This window comes from Homo sapiens, chromosome X, assembly GCF_000001405.40.
Source record: "Homo sapiens chromosome X, GRCh38.p14 Primary Assembly".
NCBI classification, from domain to species: Eukaryota; Metazoa; Chordata; class Mammalia; order Primates; family Hominidae; genus Homo; species Homo sapiens.
Window position 1 is genome coordinate 9,175,246 of NC_000023.11, and position 19,588 is coordinate 9,194,833.

The following is a 19,588-nucleotide window of genomic DNA, read 5'->3' on the forward strand; positions in this document are numbered from 1 at the left end:
TCACTCTTCCACTCTCTGCCATATGAAGACAGACTTCCTCTCTTGCCTTTCCACCTTCCATCGTGTGATGACACACTAAGAAGGCCCACACAAGATGCCAACACCTTGATCTTGGACTTCCCAGCCTCCAGAACTGTAAGAAATAAATTTTTGCTCTTTATAAACTACCCAGCCTGTGGTATCCTGTTATAGGAGCACCAAACAGACTAAAACACCAGCCTTAAAATATATTTGTCATTCATTTATCCATCCTACTCAGGTTTTTTAATAAGGAATTTTTTGATATCTAGTGCATTATATTGCCAAAACTAAAACCAAAATCAAGTCAAATAAGAAATTAAAATGTCTCTACTAATGACCCATCTGCTTTCTGATCTTACTTCTATTTCTCCACATGTTTCCCCACAACCAGAAAGTCTCCTAAGTGGCCCCATGGTCACTCAGGATCACTTTTATTCTCAGAATCCAAATTTCTTCCCTGCCTAGAATTTCTACTTTCTTTCCTTCCACCTAGCCCAGGGTTTCTCATCCTCAGCACTACTGACATTTTTTTTTTGAGACTGAGTCTTGCTCTGTCGCCCAGGCTGGAGTGCAGTGGCACAATCTCGGCTCACTGCAAGCTCCGTCTCCCGGGTTCATGCCATTCTCCTGCCTCAGCCTCCCAAGTAGCTGGGACTACTGGCGCCCGCCACCACGCCTGGCTAATTTTTTGTGTTTTTAGTAGAGACGGGGTTTCACCATGTTAGCCAACATGGTCTCGACCTCCTGACCTTGTGATCTGCCCGCCTCGGCCTCCCAAAGTGCTGGGATTACTGGCGTGAGCCACAGCGCCCAGCCCCACTACTGACATTTTTGCAGGAGAATTCTTTGTTGAGTGAGAGGAAGCTGTCCTGTGTATTGCAGAATGCTGAGCAGTGTCCCTGGCCTCTACCCACTGGATTCCAGCAGCACCCTTCCTATTTGTGGCAAACATGAACGCCTCCAGGCGCTGCCAAGTAGCCCCTGGAGGGTAAAATGGCCCTTGGCTGAGAGCCACAGTATTCATATGCAATATTATCAATAATATGTCATTAATATTAATATTAATTAATGTGCAATATATTCTAACCTGAGAGGTCAAACGGTACAACTTAGCACTATAGCACTGCGTATATTACTGTCCTATTATTCCATGTTTTTCCAAATTCACTTCACAATCATTTTGTTTCTTAACTCACCTCGCATAGCATGAGGCACAGAGCAGGGACTCAATAATATTCATGTGCTGTGACCAAAGGGAAAATGTCAGTTCCATGCTTTTAGAAAATTTGGTCAAAAGACTCAGTGTGTGTACATTGACAGAGACAACTCGGTCAGTGGGCATAGGAGTGTGAGAACATTCAGATTAGTTGTTTGATTAAAACTAAATCTGCTGGCTGGGCACAGTGACTCAAGCCTGTAATCCCAACACTTTGGGAGGCCAAGGTGGGCAGATCACCTGAGGCCAGGAGTTCAAGACAAGCCTGGCCAACATGGCAAAACCCCATCTCTACTAAAATTACAAAAATTAGCTGGGCATGTTGACACACACCTGTAATCCCAGCTACTCAGGAGGCTGAGATAGGAGAATCGCTTGAACCTGGGAGGCGGAAGTTGCAGCGAGCTGAGATCGCTCCATTGCACTCCAGCCTGGGTGACAGAGAGACTCCATCTCAAAAAAAAAAAAACAAACCTAAATCTGCTAAGTGATCATATCCTATAGTGAGCTTTAAACTACCAATTTTAATAATTTAATGATTCTAAAATTGCAAATTAATAAATTATGTTCGATCCACTTGAGAAACTGATTTGGCTGGCTTTTAGACTTTAATCAAATTTTAAATAGCATTCCAAAGTGTTAGAAATATTTCTTCTCTTTTTTGCAAAGACAAATTGGCTGATGAAAATCAGTGGCTTTAGGTCACTCAGGAGCAATTAATCAACAGATATTTGAATAAACGTCATTAAATGACAATACATAAAATGTGATTAAGACATAATGATTATCAGTAATCATAAGAGTGGATAAATGGTTTTAAAATGTCAATTTATGACATTCAGTTATATTGTAAGAACAATCCTTTGATGCATTTTCTGTTTGTATCTATATTTATACTGGCAATATAAATTTGACATTAGATAATTCCTGAAATATCTTAATATTTAAACAGACAATTATGCTTATCAATGTTTTCATTTAAACTAAATCACACTTTTTGAAACATTGCTGAATATGTGATTATACTTCTCTTTTAACTTTTGTTTATAAAATAGAGGGCGTTATTCCTTAGCATTAGACTTGAAGTACTTGTGTTAGTCTCAAGTATTTCCAATAGTTCTCATCGTTTTAAAAAGTTACCTTCTCAGTACTGATCTTGCAAATGTTAGCAGGTTTTTGAGGCATTTGAGTTGCAAGGACTTACATCTTAGTATAAATTCATCATGGCTAAATTCTTCATTCTTCCTCAAGTGTCCACACAATATCCAACATCCTGATGTAAAGTAAAAACGTTAATCATCACTCAATCAGTTTCATGTATCTACATGTTTGGCGCCACAGACAAAACGTGATTACCAGAAGTTTTCCTTCTCCCTTTGACCCGATGCTCCAGTGTCACACTAATACAGCAAAGGAGGAAGATAGTGTTATGGGAGAGGAGAAAAATGAAGCTAGTCTTATTTGTTGAGACATCTTGCAGTTACGTGAGCACCAAAGAAAAGGAGACATCCAAAATCATGCACAATTCTATCACCAAAGGAAGAATTCAAGGTGGTATTTCCTTCTCAGTGTCCCATGACTGACTTACTCACACATCTCTCTTATCCCAGGCCACCACCATGCTCTGATAAATTGTCTGCATTGGGTTGTGGCTTTTCTCTTGTTTTGAGCCTGTTTTTCTATGACCGTGTTTGAAACGAGCTCTAGAATCCCATCAGCAAGTCTAGTTTGGATGAGATCTATCCTAGCTGTCCTTCCAAAAGTTGAAATTCATGAGCATCCCTAGATCTGTGTGCATCTGATTCGTATTTTAGGTTGGTGCAAAATTAATTGTGGTTTTTGCCATTACTTTTAATAGGGTTTAGAAATCATTTAAGATCCTTTAAACCCTTTGCTCTGGGACCAAGGTAGACTCAGGATCTGACTAACAAAGTTGTTCTAGATTTCTGCTTTCCTAGGCAGCTGCTCAAAAAAATTAACAAGGGTCAATCTCTTTGCCTGAGAGTCAACAGGACCTACGGTGGAATCAGCGAAACAGGGTTAAATGGAAAGGGCACAGAGCCCCAACCTCACACACAGGTACCTGTTCTGACTCACCCAGTACTCAGTGCGTAGTTCACGGCAACATGAGTGCCTGCTCATAGCTGTAAAAATAAGAGAGAACATGGGTAAACAGCTGATCGATATCAGGTTCCTTAGATATAAAACATGAACCACAATAATAATTCCTACTTCATGGGGATGACCTGAGGCTTGAATTAGAGTATTTATTTGAGCATCATACTTAGAAGTGTCAACCACTGTGAAGGGTCTGAGATTTTAGCAAACAAGTTAGCTTGCCACAGATTCAGGGATGCTGGCAGAAGACACGAAATTCCTGGGTCAGAGACAAATGACTCTACTACTCACAGCAATATCAGCGGCCAGAGTATCATCAATTAAGCCTATTCCTCAATCTCCAATTTCAAGAGGCAATGCAAAGGCCATGTGACCCCTGCACACACAGTGCATTACATTACAGGAGAGAGAAACTGAGTATATTATAATAGGCAGTACACCTGCCTGATCTTTGCCCTGGAGAGAGACATTATCTCTACAATACTGCAGAGTAAGCAAACAAATCTGCTGCATGCTCTAGACAGAGACACTATCTCATCTTCCAAACTGTAATGGACATAAACACCAAGATAGTCTGGAATAAAATGGCATTTTGTGCCACATTTGCAGGACATGCTGAAACACAGAAAACCTTTGGAGAGTTATTAATATTTCCCAATAAGAAGTCAGTAGATCTCCACTCATTTTCCTTTCCTTGCTCTTGCCATTTCTCTTGCCTGGAGTTTTCTCCTTGTCCCCTTCACAGATCCAAAGTCTTTACTTCAGTCTTCCTCAGGCTTTCACCATGGCAGGACAAGAGGATCTGGTGCAGCAGGAGATTCAGTAGGACTGGGCGAACTGGGAGTACATTGAGATAATCACCAGCAGCATCAAGAAAACTGCAGACTTTCTCAACTCGTTCAATATGTCTTATTCAAGATTTGCAACACTAAGGGAGAAATTGACAGCCCTTGAACAGAGAATAGAGTACATTGAAGCATGGGTGACAAAAGGTGAGATGCTTACCTAGAACAGTGCCATGCTGCTGCTGGGAAGTTGCTTTACAGAACACAGGCCACGTGAGAAAGGCCCCAGCAGCCTTCTGTTCCTTCCTTTCTCCTTAAAGAGCAACAGGGCTTATTCTTGTTTTTCCTTTTCAAAAGTGTGGCCTTTGGGTTCTTCCATGTACATCTGAGGGTGTGATGTGGTATATGAGGAAAAGTCTAGAGGAACTCTTGGAAACAACATTAGGTATTTTACCTTTCCAGTAACATTTTGTAGAATTACTTGTCAATGTATTTGAGACATTCACAGCCAAAAGCCTGGGATTCTTTGTGAAGGTCCTCCCCACCCCTATCCTTCTTTCTCTCTCAGACTTTCCTTAAAGTTCTCATTGCCTCTGCACTGCTTCTGTGAACAGTCTTTGTCTCCTCCCCACCTTTGGTGGGAAGTGTGAGGCAGTCCTGGCCAAGACACTCATGCTCTGGCAATGTGGCTACCAGAGAATGCTGTTGCTAATCCGCCGGTTTCCTGTTGATTTGGGGAGGTCGAGGCCAGGCTCCCACTTGGCTTAAAGGGACATTTTCAGACATTTCTTTCTGTCACTTGGGGTGTCTATGCCTCTCAAATTTCCCTAATAAACTCCTCAACTTGATCTGACTGCTGTGATTATGGTAGGGACAGGACCTAGAGATGGGTTCACTTATTCCACAGTAATGTAATGTATGGGATTATTATTCCAACAAAACTTTCAGATGTAGCTGTTTGATTCAAAGCCTAAGTGGCTTACCAGCCCAAGCCCCCATGTTTGGACTTTCAGCTGATTAGTTTATCCTAGGAATCATTTGGTCATTCAGCACATTTATCAAGTACTTACCATGTAGGCATGTTATACTCCAATAAAAGATACATCATTGAATCAGAGAAAAAAGTCTTTGCTTCATTCAAAGCACAAATCCAATGTCCATTCCTTGAGGAGCCTTTGCAAACACTGCAGTCATTATAAATCCCTTCGCAGAGTTCCTACTTCCATTTGTAGTCTGTCTCATTAAAACAAGTCATTTTTTGACTTGTTCAATGCTTCTCCTACTTTTTAAAAACTTTAAATTGAGGGACTTATTGTAAGGAGTTGTAGTAGATGCTAGTTGTGTCCCATCTATAGCCCCTTAGCCTCATGAGTGGCCAGCTCATTACCTGAGGGCTCTATCTAGTGACTCGAATGTGCACCTGCAGGCCTGAAGAGCTAGGGAATTAAGCTCCACCCCCCAGCAGCCCTCAACCAGTGGCAGATGGAAGCTGGTGTATCAATGCCCCAGCTCCTTTGTTCCTTGGGTACGTGCATGCTCCTGACTCCTAGAGTTCCCGTGGGGCATTAAGCTCCATTTATCCTCAGTGGAACCTGGCTTGATGACAGACCCTTTGGTGGGTGCCCTCCCTTTCCTGTCTTGTTTTCCCCCTCCCCACCCAGTGTTTTCTGAGAAGACCAGCTCCCCAAAAATCTAGTTGCACTAAATCATACAGCTTTTACTCGCAATTACTGTCATATCAATTATGAGGCATCAAGTCCAATTCCATCATAAATATTTGAAAATCATCCTTATGTTCCCAAAGAATAAAATAATCATGATATTACAGTTATAATATCACTGAAATAACGTTTGGAGCTAAATGAATCTATGTGTGAAGGCAACAAAAATATCAGCAGCCAGAGATGCATTTGGCCCCAGAATGTGTCTGAAATGCTGCTTGGCATCTGAGAATGACTTAGAAGTGCCTTTCCAGCAGTCCAGCGTGGGATGAGATGTAACTAGAGGGGCTTTGAGAATACACAGAGGACACTCAAGTGCTACAGGGAAAGTGGCAAAGGTCAACTGCTTCTTTTTCGAGGACTTTACTTGCTCCCGCTCCATCCTGATATACACCCTGAGTTTTTGACGACATGACATTCTGATGGGGAACTGCCCCTAGCCCTATCATTGTGGCATGATTTGTGGCTTTTTTCTCCCTGGTAGTCAAAAGTGGATAGCTGGCTTCTTGAGTCACGAGTTGTGCTGTCATCCATGCTTGTAGTAGGAGTAACAGGGGCATGTTAACTGGTGTGCATAGATCCCCCTTGAGGTGTGAGAGGAGTCACGGTCCTGGGGGGATTTAGGATGGGGCCCCTTTCCTGAGGAGATCAGCGCAACCCCAAAAGGAAACACAGCATCAAACATTTTAAAGGCACGATGACAAGGCAACAAAAACACCTGCCACCAGGATTCTGCGCAGGATCCTGTCATGCTTCCCCATCATGTCTGGATTGACACCAGGTCGCAAGACTGTTTCTATCATCAAATACAACGTAGAATCCATTCACTGAACAGGTCATGGAAGATAGCCCATGGATTCTTTCCCCACCATTGCCCTGAAACTCACAGGAATGCATGCCACCTGGCCACTGCAACCCGTCAAGAACGGGTTACAGGAGGGGGCCTTGGCAGAGAAGGCAACTGTTTCGCTCTGCTCTCTTACTAAATGCACTAAAGCCACTCTTGCTATAATTAGTCCCCAAAGAGAAACTAAAGTAATGGGAAAGTGGAAGCTTCCTTGCTAAGACCCTAGGGATCTCTACTGAACTCCAGTGTTACTGAACTCTAGAAAGGATACGACTCACCTTGCTCTTTCAAAGGCAATCGTGTCTGACATATCATCTAGGAATTGTTTCTTTGATGTCTCATGTGTCCTTTACCCTGTTGCATCTGCAAAATGCATGCACACACTTTATCCAGGAAAAGACAGTTTTGAGGGATTTTTTTTTATCCTAGAAGTATTGACCTTTTTCAAGTTCACTTACAAAAATTAAGCAACTTAGTGTCAGATTATCTAGAAAGACATAGAAAGCAGAAGGAAAATAAATCAGTGGACCTAAAATACTATTACTATTACAGTAAGGAATGTGAAACTTTAAAATAGGTAAATTCAAATGTGACCCATAAATCAGGGTCCTCAGTGTACAAAACCAAAACCCTTCACACTGTGGATACTGGTCCAGGACAGGCGCACTCAAAGAGATTTGGGAAGAGTGAAGATGCCTAGGATGTAGGAAAGCTACAAAGAAAGAGACCATTCTGGGCATGAAGCTAGCTGGAGAAAATGATCACTGCATTTAACAGAATGTGGGTGTACTCTGCAAATAGGTACTATATTAAGGAATTTCATAGGTAAAAGGTAATTAAATATCAGCTTGAGTCTTATATCTGAGCTCAATCAAGAGGGAAAAAAGGTTCCACAATCTCAGAACAGGATTCTCCTGAGTGGGAAACACACCCCCTCTGAAGGAAAAATGTTCCCTGCTGCCAGCACCACCCCCGGGTAGCAGAACTATCTGAGTTTGAGGTCTGGAAGTCCTCATCTCCAGCAGAGAGCCACTATACGATGGCCCTGCCCTGGCCCTCAGGCCTCCTAGGTGCGCGGGAGTCTGTGGGAGAGGATGGTTGGGGAGAGCCTGGTGGGCCCCATGCAAACCACTCAAAGTCTCCTGGGTGCCAGGAAGAAAGCTTTCTCTCAGCTCCGTCCTGTACGTGGTAATGTTAACAGCCGCTATCATGCTTTCAGGGTAGCCCAATTCATGCATGTACCCAACCCACCCCCATTTTTCTCCTTCACTCTAAAACTGGCACTGATGAGCTACTATTTGACTTAGTGGTGTAGCAGAGTTCCCAGCCAACTGCTTCAACCATCCCATCCACTTGGGTCTCTGTGGTTGCTGCTGGCTGATGTTCCCCAAGGCTATTTCTTCTTCTTTCTGGGGCCACAGGTGGACTATGTTTCCTAGCCTCTCTTGCAGTCTCTTGTGGCTACGTCAAAAGAACAATAGTACAAGAGAAAGGTCAGTGTGGAAGAGAAAGTACCAGTGGATGGTTAAATGTTTGCTATTCTGAGCTTTACTGGAACCACAAGGAAAGAGTGTTCTTTGGATGAAAATTCTAGGAGACACAAGAGGGCTAAGCTTCACACAAGCTCACGTCTAATTCCAGTCCTGCCCCTGGCCACTCAAAGGACATTGGGCATGTCATGCTTTCTCATCAGAAACATGAGGGAATTACATTGGATGGGCTCCAAGTTTTATCCCAACATCAAAATGCCATGATGTGTCTGTGGCTTGGTTATTCCTCCTAGCCACTAGCACACGGTTGCTATTTACTCTCCTGATGATTCAACTTCAATTTGATTTTGCAGTACACTTTCACACTTCCACATCTTTTCCAAGGTGCTTCTGTATACATTGCCTTACATCCCATCCAACAGCTCTGTAAAATAAGAAACAGAGGAGGCTGGCACACCATTTAGAGATGGGGAAGCTGATGTGGCAAAATCACCAGCCTATCCAGAATTATCAAATACTAGAGGCAGAGCTGCAGTCAGAACTCCATTCTCCTGACTACTGGTTTTCTTCTCATTCTTGTTCACTATGTCACATTCAGTTCCTGCAAAAAAATTGGTCACTAATGTTGCTTTATTAAATTAGTTCTTAAGCATTAATAATCGGGGGCATTGCAATTTATTCTATTCTCACTGTAAACATGTAAAATGATGCAAATGAAAAAAAAGACAGACTCCCAAAAATATGTTCCTAAAAACTTTTTGAGGAACATAATTTTCATCATTGAGGCAAAGCTGCATTGACACGTATTATTCATAGAAGAGCTGGAGATGATGAGAGGTTGGGGTTCACATTAAACATATGTGTAATATAGGTTCCAACCCAAAGTGCCTTTTTTTTCTGCAAAAGAACTCAGGTCTTCATTTGGGAACATCAAAATACACATATGTGAGTCATCTCTCACATATTTCCAATCCAATGGGCACGTTATTGGGTTATGCAAGGCATGCAGTACGTTTCTATGGTAAATTGCAAACCAAGAACTTTGACTGATGTCTTCTTTTTAACCAGTTATTAAGAAAATTTCTCTGTGCACCCATTAGGAAAGCTATAATAAAAAAGACAGTAATAAACGTTGGTGAGGATGTGGAGAAATTGGGACCCTAATAGATTGCTGCTGGTGGGAATGTAAAATGGTGCAGCTGCTTTGGAAAAAGTCTGGCAGTTCCTCAAAAAGTTAAACACATAGTTACCATGGAACCCAAGTATGCCACTCCTAGGTATACACCCAGGAGAAATGAAAGCATATGTCCCCACAAAAACCTGTATACAAATGTTCATAGCAGCATTATTCATAATAGCCAAGAAGTGGAAACAGCCCAAATGTCCATGAACTGATGAATGAATAAACAAAATATGGTCTAGCATACAGTAGAATATTATTTGTTAATAAAAAGAAGTGACATTCTGATCCATGCCACAACCTGGGTGAACCTTGAAAACATGATGCTCAGTGAAAGAACCAGACACAGAAGACCACATATTGCATGATTCCATTTCAAGGAGAGGCCCAGAATAAGTAAATTCAGAGACAGAAAATAGATTAGTTGGGTTGGGAGAAGGGAGTAATGAGGGGTCATGGCTAATGAGTATGAGGTTTCTTTTTGGGGTGAGGAAGATATTCTGGAATTAGATTATTATAATGGTCGTGCATCTCTGTAAATAATGAATGTCAAATGCTTAGCACAATACCTAGCACATGCTTGGCATTATAAGGGATAATACAATAGTAACTTTATTACAACCATAATATAGTAATAATATTATTTTTAAAATTTTATTATAGTTACAGCTGTGAATAATCTCATGACCTCCAAGCATGAACAAAACCTCTTTTCCTGGTTTCCTTTCACTCAAATCAACCAAGTAGGGCCCATAGTTTCCATAGGCCAAATGTGACCCCATGCCTGTTTTTATAGATGCAGTTTTATTGGCACTCATTCATGCCTACTGGCTACTACTGCTTATGGCTGCTCCAGTGCCACAAAGGCATCACTGGATAGTTTCAACAAAGACAAATGCTTGAGGTGATGGATATCCTATAACTCTGATATGATTATGACACTGTGTATACTTGTATCAAAATATCACATGAACCTCAAGAATATATACAATTCATATTTATCCATAATAATTAAATATAAAATATTTGTAAGCCTAAATACTATCTGAACCTATGCAGAGTCATTTTGCTGATCACTCTGTTCTGTGATATTCAGAATATTGTCATTTTTATCCTGAGAGAGCACATATTACAATCCTTCGAGAGAAGCCAAGAAACAAACACATTAGCTGAGACAGGGTGCAGCGAGCACTCCCTGGGACTCGCAGGGCTGGGCTTTGCTCCTTCTCCTCTGTGCCCCTGCCCTTCCCCAGACACCATTGACACATATGTGCCCACTAGGCCTGATAAAAGCACAGGTCAATCAAGGAAACCTCCGTGTAGGCTAACAGCGCTATTGAGGCTTTACTCTCCTAACTCATGTGGACAGTTAGGGTTTAAGAAAACAATATTGTTGGGGGAATATGATCTGTCCTAGAATGCTAGCCATGGCTATTTGATGTCAACCCGCATTCCAACTCCTACTGCTCCAAAAACGAAGTCAGTGTTCCATCAGTCCACATGAGTCTTTGCCCATCGCCCCCAGCACCCGTGTCAGAAGCTGTTTTCAAAAGTGATTTTCATGTGTCCCATGTCAGGGTTGTCACCTACCACCACAGAATATGTTTCACTCTACTAACATACCGTGGGAATTGACGCCTGTGTTTTTTAAGTTGATTAGGGTTTTTTTCTTTCTTTCTTTCTTTCCTTCCTTCTTTCTTCGAAGAAGAAGGAGGACGACAAAAGAAAGAAAAAAGAAGAGAAAAGGAACAGTGAGAAGGGAGGGAAGCAGGAATGGAGAAAGGAGAGAATCAGCAAGATTATTTCTTCACACGTCTGTCGCCCACTCCCTCATGGGGCTCCCACCGCCTGTCCAGTGAGCTGTGTGCCACACTGCGTGGAAGAGAGGGGCATCGAGACAACTGCATGTAAACTTTCTTAAAGGAAAGAAACGCAGGCGCAGAGGAAGAGAAGCTTTTTTGCCTTTTCCAAAGAACCAGACAATAAATCCAGATCGGCACATCAAAATCAAAGATGACTGCAGCTTCAAAGCTTCCCGGGAAGATCAAAGGCGAAGCGTGAAGAAGGCAGGCAGGATCTCTGAGGATAGGAGGAGGCCTTCTCGGCCCTTGTGGAGCTCTGTTTCAACAAACCAGAATCTCCCGTAAGTCAGCTCCCACGTTTAAAATCAGCTCCGAGCCTTGCACAGGGAGCTTTAGGGAAAGCTTCTTCACGGAAACAAAAATGAGGCGTTTTAGCAATAACACAGAAATCAAACTCTCCTGGCAGAAAGCTTCCAGGCAAACTCCTTGCCCTAACTCCCTAAAAAGATTGTCTTGCCATACCTCGCTTTTTTGCTGCAACCTCCCCAAGTGCTGGAAAACAGAACAAGTATTAGCCCCACGTAGCTTAAATTCTTAGAATTTGATTACTGATTTCTGTATAATTGGTCGGAAATTGCCTCTACCTCTCTCTGCTGCTGTTATAAAATATTTCTTCCTTTAACTCATGTTTGCCAGAACACTTGTGCTGTGTAATCACAGAGATAGTCCTGTAATATCCGAGTGTGGCAGTGAATTGGATTCCACATAATTAGTTGAACATAATTGAGCAATAATGTGTAGTTATGGAGGAAATTTACTGGACCTCACACAAAGGAAAATTTCTAGAGCAGTGGCGTGTTGTTCCCGAAGTAATTGTGCAAAGCATCACCTACAGTACTGACTCTGTCTTTTCTGCTCCGGAAACATCATTAACACGCCTACCTCTACAGCAACATTCTCTACGCTGTCCTTCTCTTTCTGCAGAGTGGCCGATTTCAGAGTGGTCGTAAGGGAACAAATCAGTAACTCTCAAGATCACAGGATGTCTTTGGCACCTAACATATAGGTGTCCAATAAAAAGCTATTTTCAAAATTATTTATTAAAAAACTCACTGAAACTGTTCTTTCATAGAGAAAACACAAGACACACATATTTCTAATATCATTATCTCCTTATCTAGATTTTTCCCGTATGTAAAATAGCTGTTTTCCACTGCTTTAGGGACTGTACAACTACATGCTCTTAAAAATAGCTCCAGATAGCTGAGCAGCACTTTCCAGCTGAATAGAAAACATCATTAGTAAAACCTAGGTCCAAATTCTGATGCCTATAAATGTTTTTCCAGCATTTCCCACACCTTGATTCCTGCAGAATCCACAAGCCTAAGGCAACAGATGCACACACATGCATGTGCACAAACACACATGCTGTAAATACAAAAAGCCAAAACCACCTTATAAAGTGTTTGCACTTATTAATGTATTGAATCTTGTCAAATCACATCAAGCCTTCCATTTCTTCCACACCTAAATGCCACCTACATCTATCTTTTACCCTATTTGAAAAGACTGTGGAAAAAAAATCCGCAAATCTGTAAATAAGCAAATAAGGCTATATATAAGTGTTTCTTATTTTATTTATTCATTGTGTACTGATACATTCAAGCTAATTCTATTCAGCACACCCAAGGTGCCTAAAGCATTAACTTTTTCTGAAAGGCTAAGCTGCCCCTAAACGTTTGATCCTGATGTTTGTTCCCCTGAAACAGGTTAATGAGTATTTAAAAAAAACCCAAAAACTGGCTGATTTTTAATGCAACCAGCTTCACAAAAACAGATGGCGTATGACCTGCCTAATTAGATAACACAGATAGAATCTCATTCCCTGAACAAAGCTGCCTCTTGAGTAAGCCTGCTACATATCACGTATCCCAGCCATAAAAATGAGTCTGTCAAGTGGGTTTTTCCCCCTGAATATCATCAATCATGTTATTTCTGGTTTCTTCTCTTGTCCCTCACCTGCCTCCAGGCTCTATCTTCCTGTTTTGATCTACATTGACAAATTTGAGAAAAGATGGGCAAATGCCAAAGTTTGGCACTAACTCTTAACATTAAAATAGCTGAAAATTTGAAAACTTTCCCAAATGAACATTTTTTTCACTGCCAAGAAAGTCCATGGAGATATATTTGTTCTCCACACTGTAGTCTTGTGTGGCTAAGAGGATGGGTTTTGAATGACCACACCAAGATATCAAATCAACTCTTTAGTTCATCCCATCTCTCCTCATAAAAACACACACAAAGAGTTGTCGTAGGCCATCAATCCATCAATCCCCCCATCAGGGAGGGATCCAGCCATACCTGCTTATTCTCCAAGATTATCTTATGGATAATTATTGGGCTGTGTCACCAAACCCACCCCCACCAAAAACACATACATGTGCGCGCACACACACACACACACACACACATCTAATTTTCTGAAACAAGAAGGCCTAAACCAATGATGAGAAGAAGAAACATTTGTCAGTAGCAGTTTTATAGACTACAGTCTTTGGTTCCTTTCATGTCTTTTTGGAAATAGCTAGAAATGAAGGTGGTGGGGGAGTCTATTTCTGGGCCACTAACACCTTCAATCCTGAATCTTTCATGACACAAAGAGAAACATTGAAAATATAGCTGCAGCAAGGATTTAATGGAATTCCTGGGTGAGGGAGTCAGGATACAGGTGTGTAGGTTTATTTTTCCAGTTTTAATATGGAAGAAAGGGAATGGCTTGTTTCCTCCATTGCTTAACATTGATGAATCCTTCTGTCTCCAAATTAGTTTCCCTATTGAGACTGAGAGCACATGGAAGGGCTACAACTTGTTTTCATCCTTTTTATCCCCAACTCTCGGGAGAGTGTTAAGCAGAGGGGGTGCTTCATGATTGCTTCTTTCTATAAGTGTGGTGTTTACGGATGCCTTGGGACCCGACGTGGCTTCACCGTGCATCCTTTTTTCACACACACACACACTGAGATCACCACTGCCCTCCTCCAGCTGCTGCTCTCAGTTACACAAACACTGAGATCCCTGCCTTCCTCCAGCTGCTGCTCTTATTTACACAAACATCGAGGTCACCGCCCTCCTCTAGCTATTGTTCCCGGGGCCATACAATCATCCACGTTCAGGGTTTAATTTTACTAGGTGATAAAAATGGATTGCAATGCCTGTCTGGGGATGCTGTTTGACCCATTTTATCAAGTCTCTGTGACTGTGTTCATTAAATTCATGCATGATCACCGTTCAGTAATGTTCCAGTAAGATCTGGGGAGGGAGCCGCCACAGCAGTGTCACAGTTTCCAAAGGTCCCCACATCTCCACAGAAACACAGACAGAATGAGCAGTTAGTAAAACCACACATGCAGCAGATTCACAGCAAAATCAGGTGAAGAGCAACCTGCAAGCCTTGCAGGATCAGTGTCTGTGTGGGAGGAAGCAGGGGAAACATCAGGGATTCTGGCAGACCCAAAAACAGAAGAACCTGGAAACAGCCAATAGGCTTGTGCTGGAAAGCATAGTGGGCCCATGTGAGAATAGCAGTGGAAATTGAGAGGAGTCTCATTGAACTCAACAGACATCCCCGCCAGTCTGAAGGGGCAGGGGGAGCTCTCTGGCCCCCACACGCCTTTGGAGCTGACACCGGGTTCCCTTCTAGGCAGGGCCCTCACACTGCAAGTAGAATCCAAGCTAAGCAGGGCAGGGACAAGAGAAACAAAGGGAAGAGAATCTCCAGCAGACTCATAATCTTGTAAAATCTACATGAAAACAACACAACAGTGAGGTCAGTAAGATTAAAATGCTACTCAACACAACTACTTCTAATGCTTCAGGAAAACTAACTTTATGTGAAAATGAACAATGGAAAAGGATCATGCTTGAATCTGACTCAAATTTATTATAAGAAATGAAAGAAGAAAGAGCAGAGTAACATCTCCACAGACAAGAAAAGCATGCCAGAAGATACATTTTTATAAATCACTTGAAAACTGTAATTTTCTGTTTCGAAGAGAGCTAAAAAATACTCATAGAAATGACATACAACATTAAAATACAACACAAATCAGAAACTGAAATACTCAGAAATCACAACGCAGAATTCAAGACAATGAGAAATAAGAAAAATAATCTCAGAAATAAAGAGTAAACTAGAAAAAATATGAGAGAGAACACATTAAAAATAACAAGAAAAATAAAAGGTACAAAAAGGAAGAAAATTTAAAATTAAAAAAAGTTGAAGATACAAAAAGTATTTGAAAGAAAGCGACAAGTATTTAAATGAGCAAAGAACATTGAACGTGTTGACAATAGAAATCCCTGAAAGAAAACCCAACCAGGGCAACAAGTACCAAAAACTATAATTCAAGAAAATTTTGCAAAATAGGGATTTGAAATGACATATGGAAAGAGCAACTAACATCCCTGAGACCACTGACCCAGAAAACTGACATGAAGATGTTATCTACTAAAATGTCTGAACTTTAAAGGAAAAGAATCCTGTGGGTTTACAGGCAAAAATAGAAAGTGACACATAACTTAAATAAATTTACATCATTATCAGACTTGAACAGCGAGGCTTTTTTTTCCAGTAGAAAATGGAGTAATATATTTAAGACAGGGTCCGCAACCCCTGCACAGTGGACCAGTACTGGTCCGTGGCCTGTTAGGAACCGGGCCACACAGCAGAAGATGAGCGACAAGCGAGCCAGCATTACTGCCTGAGCTCTGCCCTCTGTCAGATCAGCGGCGGCATTAGATTCCCACAGGAGCACAAACCCTGGTGTGAACTGTGCATGCGAGGGATCTAGGTTGCACGTTCCCTGTGAGGCTCTAATGCCTGATTATGTGAAGTGGAACAGTTTCATTCAGAAACCATCCCTCCCGCCCCACCCCATTCATGGAAAAATTGTCTTCTACAAAATCAGTCCCTGGTGTCAAAATGGTTGGGGACCGCTGATTTAAGATACCCAAGGAAGGAACCCGTGTCCAAGTTCTTTATATTGAGCGAAATTGGCCTTCAAGCACAAAGAGCACAAACTTAAAGATGTAAGAAGCCAGGGAATGTTTTTTCCCAAGAGCCCTTCAGAAGGCGTCTGCCAGACAATGAGTTACAGAAAACCAGAATGATTGACTAGAGAGACACAGACCTAAGGCTGGTGTTGAGCATTAAATATATGACTTGCACACAAAAACTAACCGGGAGTTAAAAGGAAGAGAGCATAACATGCAATGGCTATACACTCAGACCATGTGAAAAACAGCACAACCATGAAAAATGGGGAAAGATTGAAGACAACAGAGTTAAAAAATTTTCTGAACTGTTTTTGGTAACCATTTTGGTGGTGATGGTAGCATTTGTATCATTATTTTGAGACAGTTATGTGTGTGGTGCAAGATAAAACAAATGAGGAATTATGCAATATTTTAATTCTAGCCTTCCCAGTGTTCTGGAGAATGCGGATCCTTGGTGTTGGAAAGGGAGATTAAAATTTCACATAGAGACAAGTATTACTGTAAACTCATAAACTACGTCGCCTTAAAAAAATTTCCAGCCCTTAGGCCAGGCGTGGTGGCTCACGCCTGTAATCCTAGCACTCTGGGAGGCTGAGGCAGGCAGATCACAAGGTCAGGAGATCAAGACCATCCTGGCTAACATGGTGAAATCCCGTCTCTACTAAAACTACAAAAAAAAAAATTAGCTGTGTGTGGTGGCAGATGCCTGTAGTCCCAGCTACTCGGGAGGCTGAGGCAGGAGAATGGCGTGAACCCGGGAGGCGGAGCTTGCAGTGAGCCGAGATCAGGCCACTGCACTCCAGCCTGGATGACAGAGCAAGACTCCATCTCAAAGAAAAAAAAAAAAAATTTCCAGCTCTTTCCCCCACAATTTCCTGGAAACAATGGCTACCCAATGGCAATGAACATCCCTAGCACCAAGATTATGTTCTTGAAATATCATTTCCCAGTGAAATACCCCAATGAATTTTGGAGAAATGGTCAGTTTCTAGCCTGGAGCTAGAATATGTACAAGATAACATCAAAGATCTTATAGAAGATATCAAGAAAACCATCAATGACTGCTCTGTGTCAAAAGGACTCAAAATCCAATAGGAAGAGACTCTCACTGACCATGATGGGACAAACTGAAGTTCAATAATGATAAGAACTGCAATGGATTGAAACGTATTTATTTAAAATCAGGAGTTTGTGATTAAATTTTTAAAAATTAATTGGTCCCTTTCTGAGGATTATAAGAAATCAATCCATTATCTTGAAGACTAGTAAATAAAACTAAAGAATTAAGCTTCTATCCTGCCTTTCCCACAGGAATTACATCACTGGGCAACACAGAGTAGATGAGAAGTGACGCCTAGTAACATTATTGCAGCTAATAAATGCGAACAACATGATAGAGTCAGAATATCACCATTTTGCAACTTCCAGTGAATTAACAGATCTAGGCAGCTGCTAACATCACAAAATGAGTACAACTCAGTTACCATTATGGCTCCTGAGGAGAGAACTCAACACTGCCTCATGTTGCCAACAAATTGACTCTAAATCTGGTCAAGCCTCTACATCTAGCTGCGGGAAATACAGAGAACACAGGAAAATATTCAGCTGCACCATAAGTAAGCAATCACAAATGTCCAAACTTTGACAAACTCGACAGGTCCAATGCCCTAGCTTTTTCAACAGGTAAATTGTAAAGAACAATACAGCAGCATAAAGGAATGGAGGAGAGCACTGTACATTAAAAGCCTTTAAAAGATCCAACTATACAAGTTGGCAGAACCTATAGTGTCTAGGGATACATATCTTAGAGAAAGAACTACACAGAAATGCAAGAAAACAATTGCTATAAAAGTTAACATAGTGGGTACACAGCAAGATAGAAGGGATATGACCAGGACGGGGCACATGAATGGGGCTTCTACAGTATCTGCCAATGTTCTTTCTTATGACCGGGGTGATATTTACAAGGGTGCTTGCCACAGAATCATAAATTAACCTATGCACATTTGTGTCGTTTTCCTTTTTTTTTTTTTTTTTTTTTTTTTTTTTTTTTTTTGAGACAGGGTCATCCCGTGTTGCCCAGGCTGTAGTTCAGTGGCGTGATCATAGCTCACTGCAGCCTTCACCTCCTGGGCTCAAGTGATACTCTCAGCCTCTCAAGTAGATGAAACTACAGGTACATGCCACTATGCCCCAGCTAATTATTTTATTCCTATTTTTTAGAGGCAGGGTCTCACTGTGTTACTCAGCTGGTCTCAAACTACTGGCCTCAGGTAATCCTCAGCCTCCCAAAGTGTTGGGATTACAGGCTCAAGCCACCACACTGAGCCAGTTTTGTATAGTTTTCTGTTCCTTTGTTTTATTTTACAGTGAAAAGCTTAGTTAAAAAGGTAGAAAATTAATAATGCTTCAAGTTATCAAAGAATAGGGACAATCATATAAAGGAAAGAATCCAACAGGATAGCTGAAGCTCTGGAGAGAGGACAGCATGGAGCTCCTAACTGCAGGAGTCAGGGCCAGGGACTCCAGGGATCTGAGTACGGCTGTGCTATTAAAGAGCTCAGAAGGCCCAAGTCCTGAGCCAGGTATGCTGGACTAAGAGGGAACACCTGGCATCGGCAAGAGACATCGTTAAGGAAAGCACCACGATTCAGCTCCACAGGGGTGGATCCCAAGACACAAACCACCAGTCACAGACAGGCAGGCTGAAGAAAGAGAACTCAGCAGAAAAGTCCCAACTATCTGGCTCCACCTCATCCATCACCAGACACCAGCAGTATCTACGAGATAAAGATAGGCTGCAAGAAGAAAAACACTTTAAAAAAGGAAATGACAGCGGCCGGGCGCAGTGGCTCATGCCTGTAATCCCAGCACTTTGGGAGGCCAAGGCGAGCGGATCATGAGGTCAAGAGATTGAGACCATCCTGGCCAACATGGTGAAACTCTGTCTCTACTAAAAATACAAAGGATGAGTTCATGTCCTTTGCAGGGACATGGATGAAGCTGGAAACCATCATTCTCAGCAAACTATCACAAGAACAGAAAACCAAACACCACATGTTCTCACTCATAAGTGGGAGTTGTACAAGGAGAACACATGGACATAGGGAGGGGAACATCACACACCGAGGCCTGTCGTGGGGCGGGGGGCTAGGGGAGGGATAACATTAGGAGAAATACCTAATGTAGGTGATGGGTTGATGGGTGCCGCAAACCACCATGGCACGTGTATACCTATGCAGCAAAACTGCACATTCTGCACATGTACCACAGAACTTAAAGTTAAAAAAAAAAAAAATTAGCATGCACCTGTAGTCCCAGCTACTCGGGAGGCTGAGGCAGGAGAATCACTT

The 19,588-nt window shown here is 41.9% G+C and overlaps 1 pseudogene, besides 1 other annotated feature; it reads left to right on the top strand.

The window, feature by feature from the left end:
* Window positions 4,121–4,655, top strand: BRK1P1 (BRICK1 pseudogene 1; annotated as a pseudogene).
* Window positions 19,036–19,290: a silencer, noted in NCBI's record as "fragment chrX:9162322-9162576 (GRCh37/hg19 assembly coordinates)". NCBI's record gives its function as "represses an EF-1alpha promoter that drives an FKBP-Casp9 reporter gene in an ReSE screen in K562 erythroleukemia cells {active_cell/tissue: K562}" and the evidence as "EXISTENCE:reporter gene assay evidence [ECO:0000049][PMID:32094911]".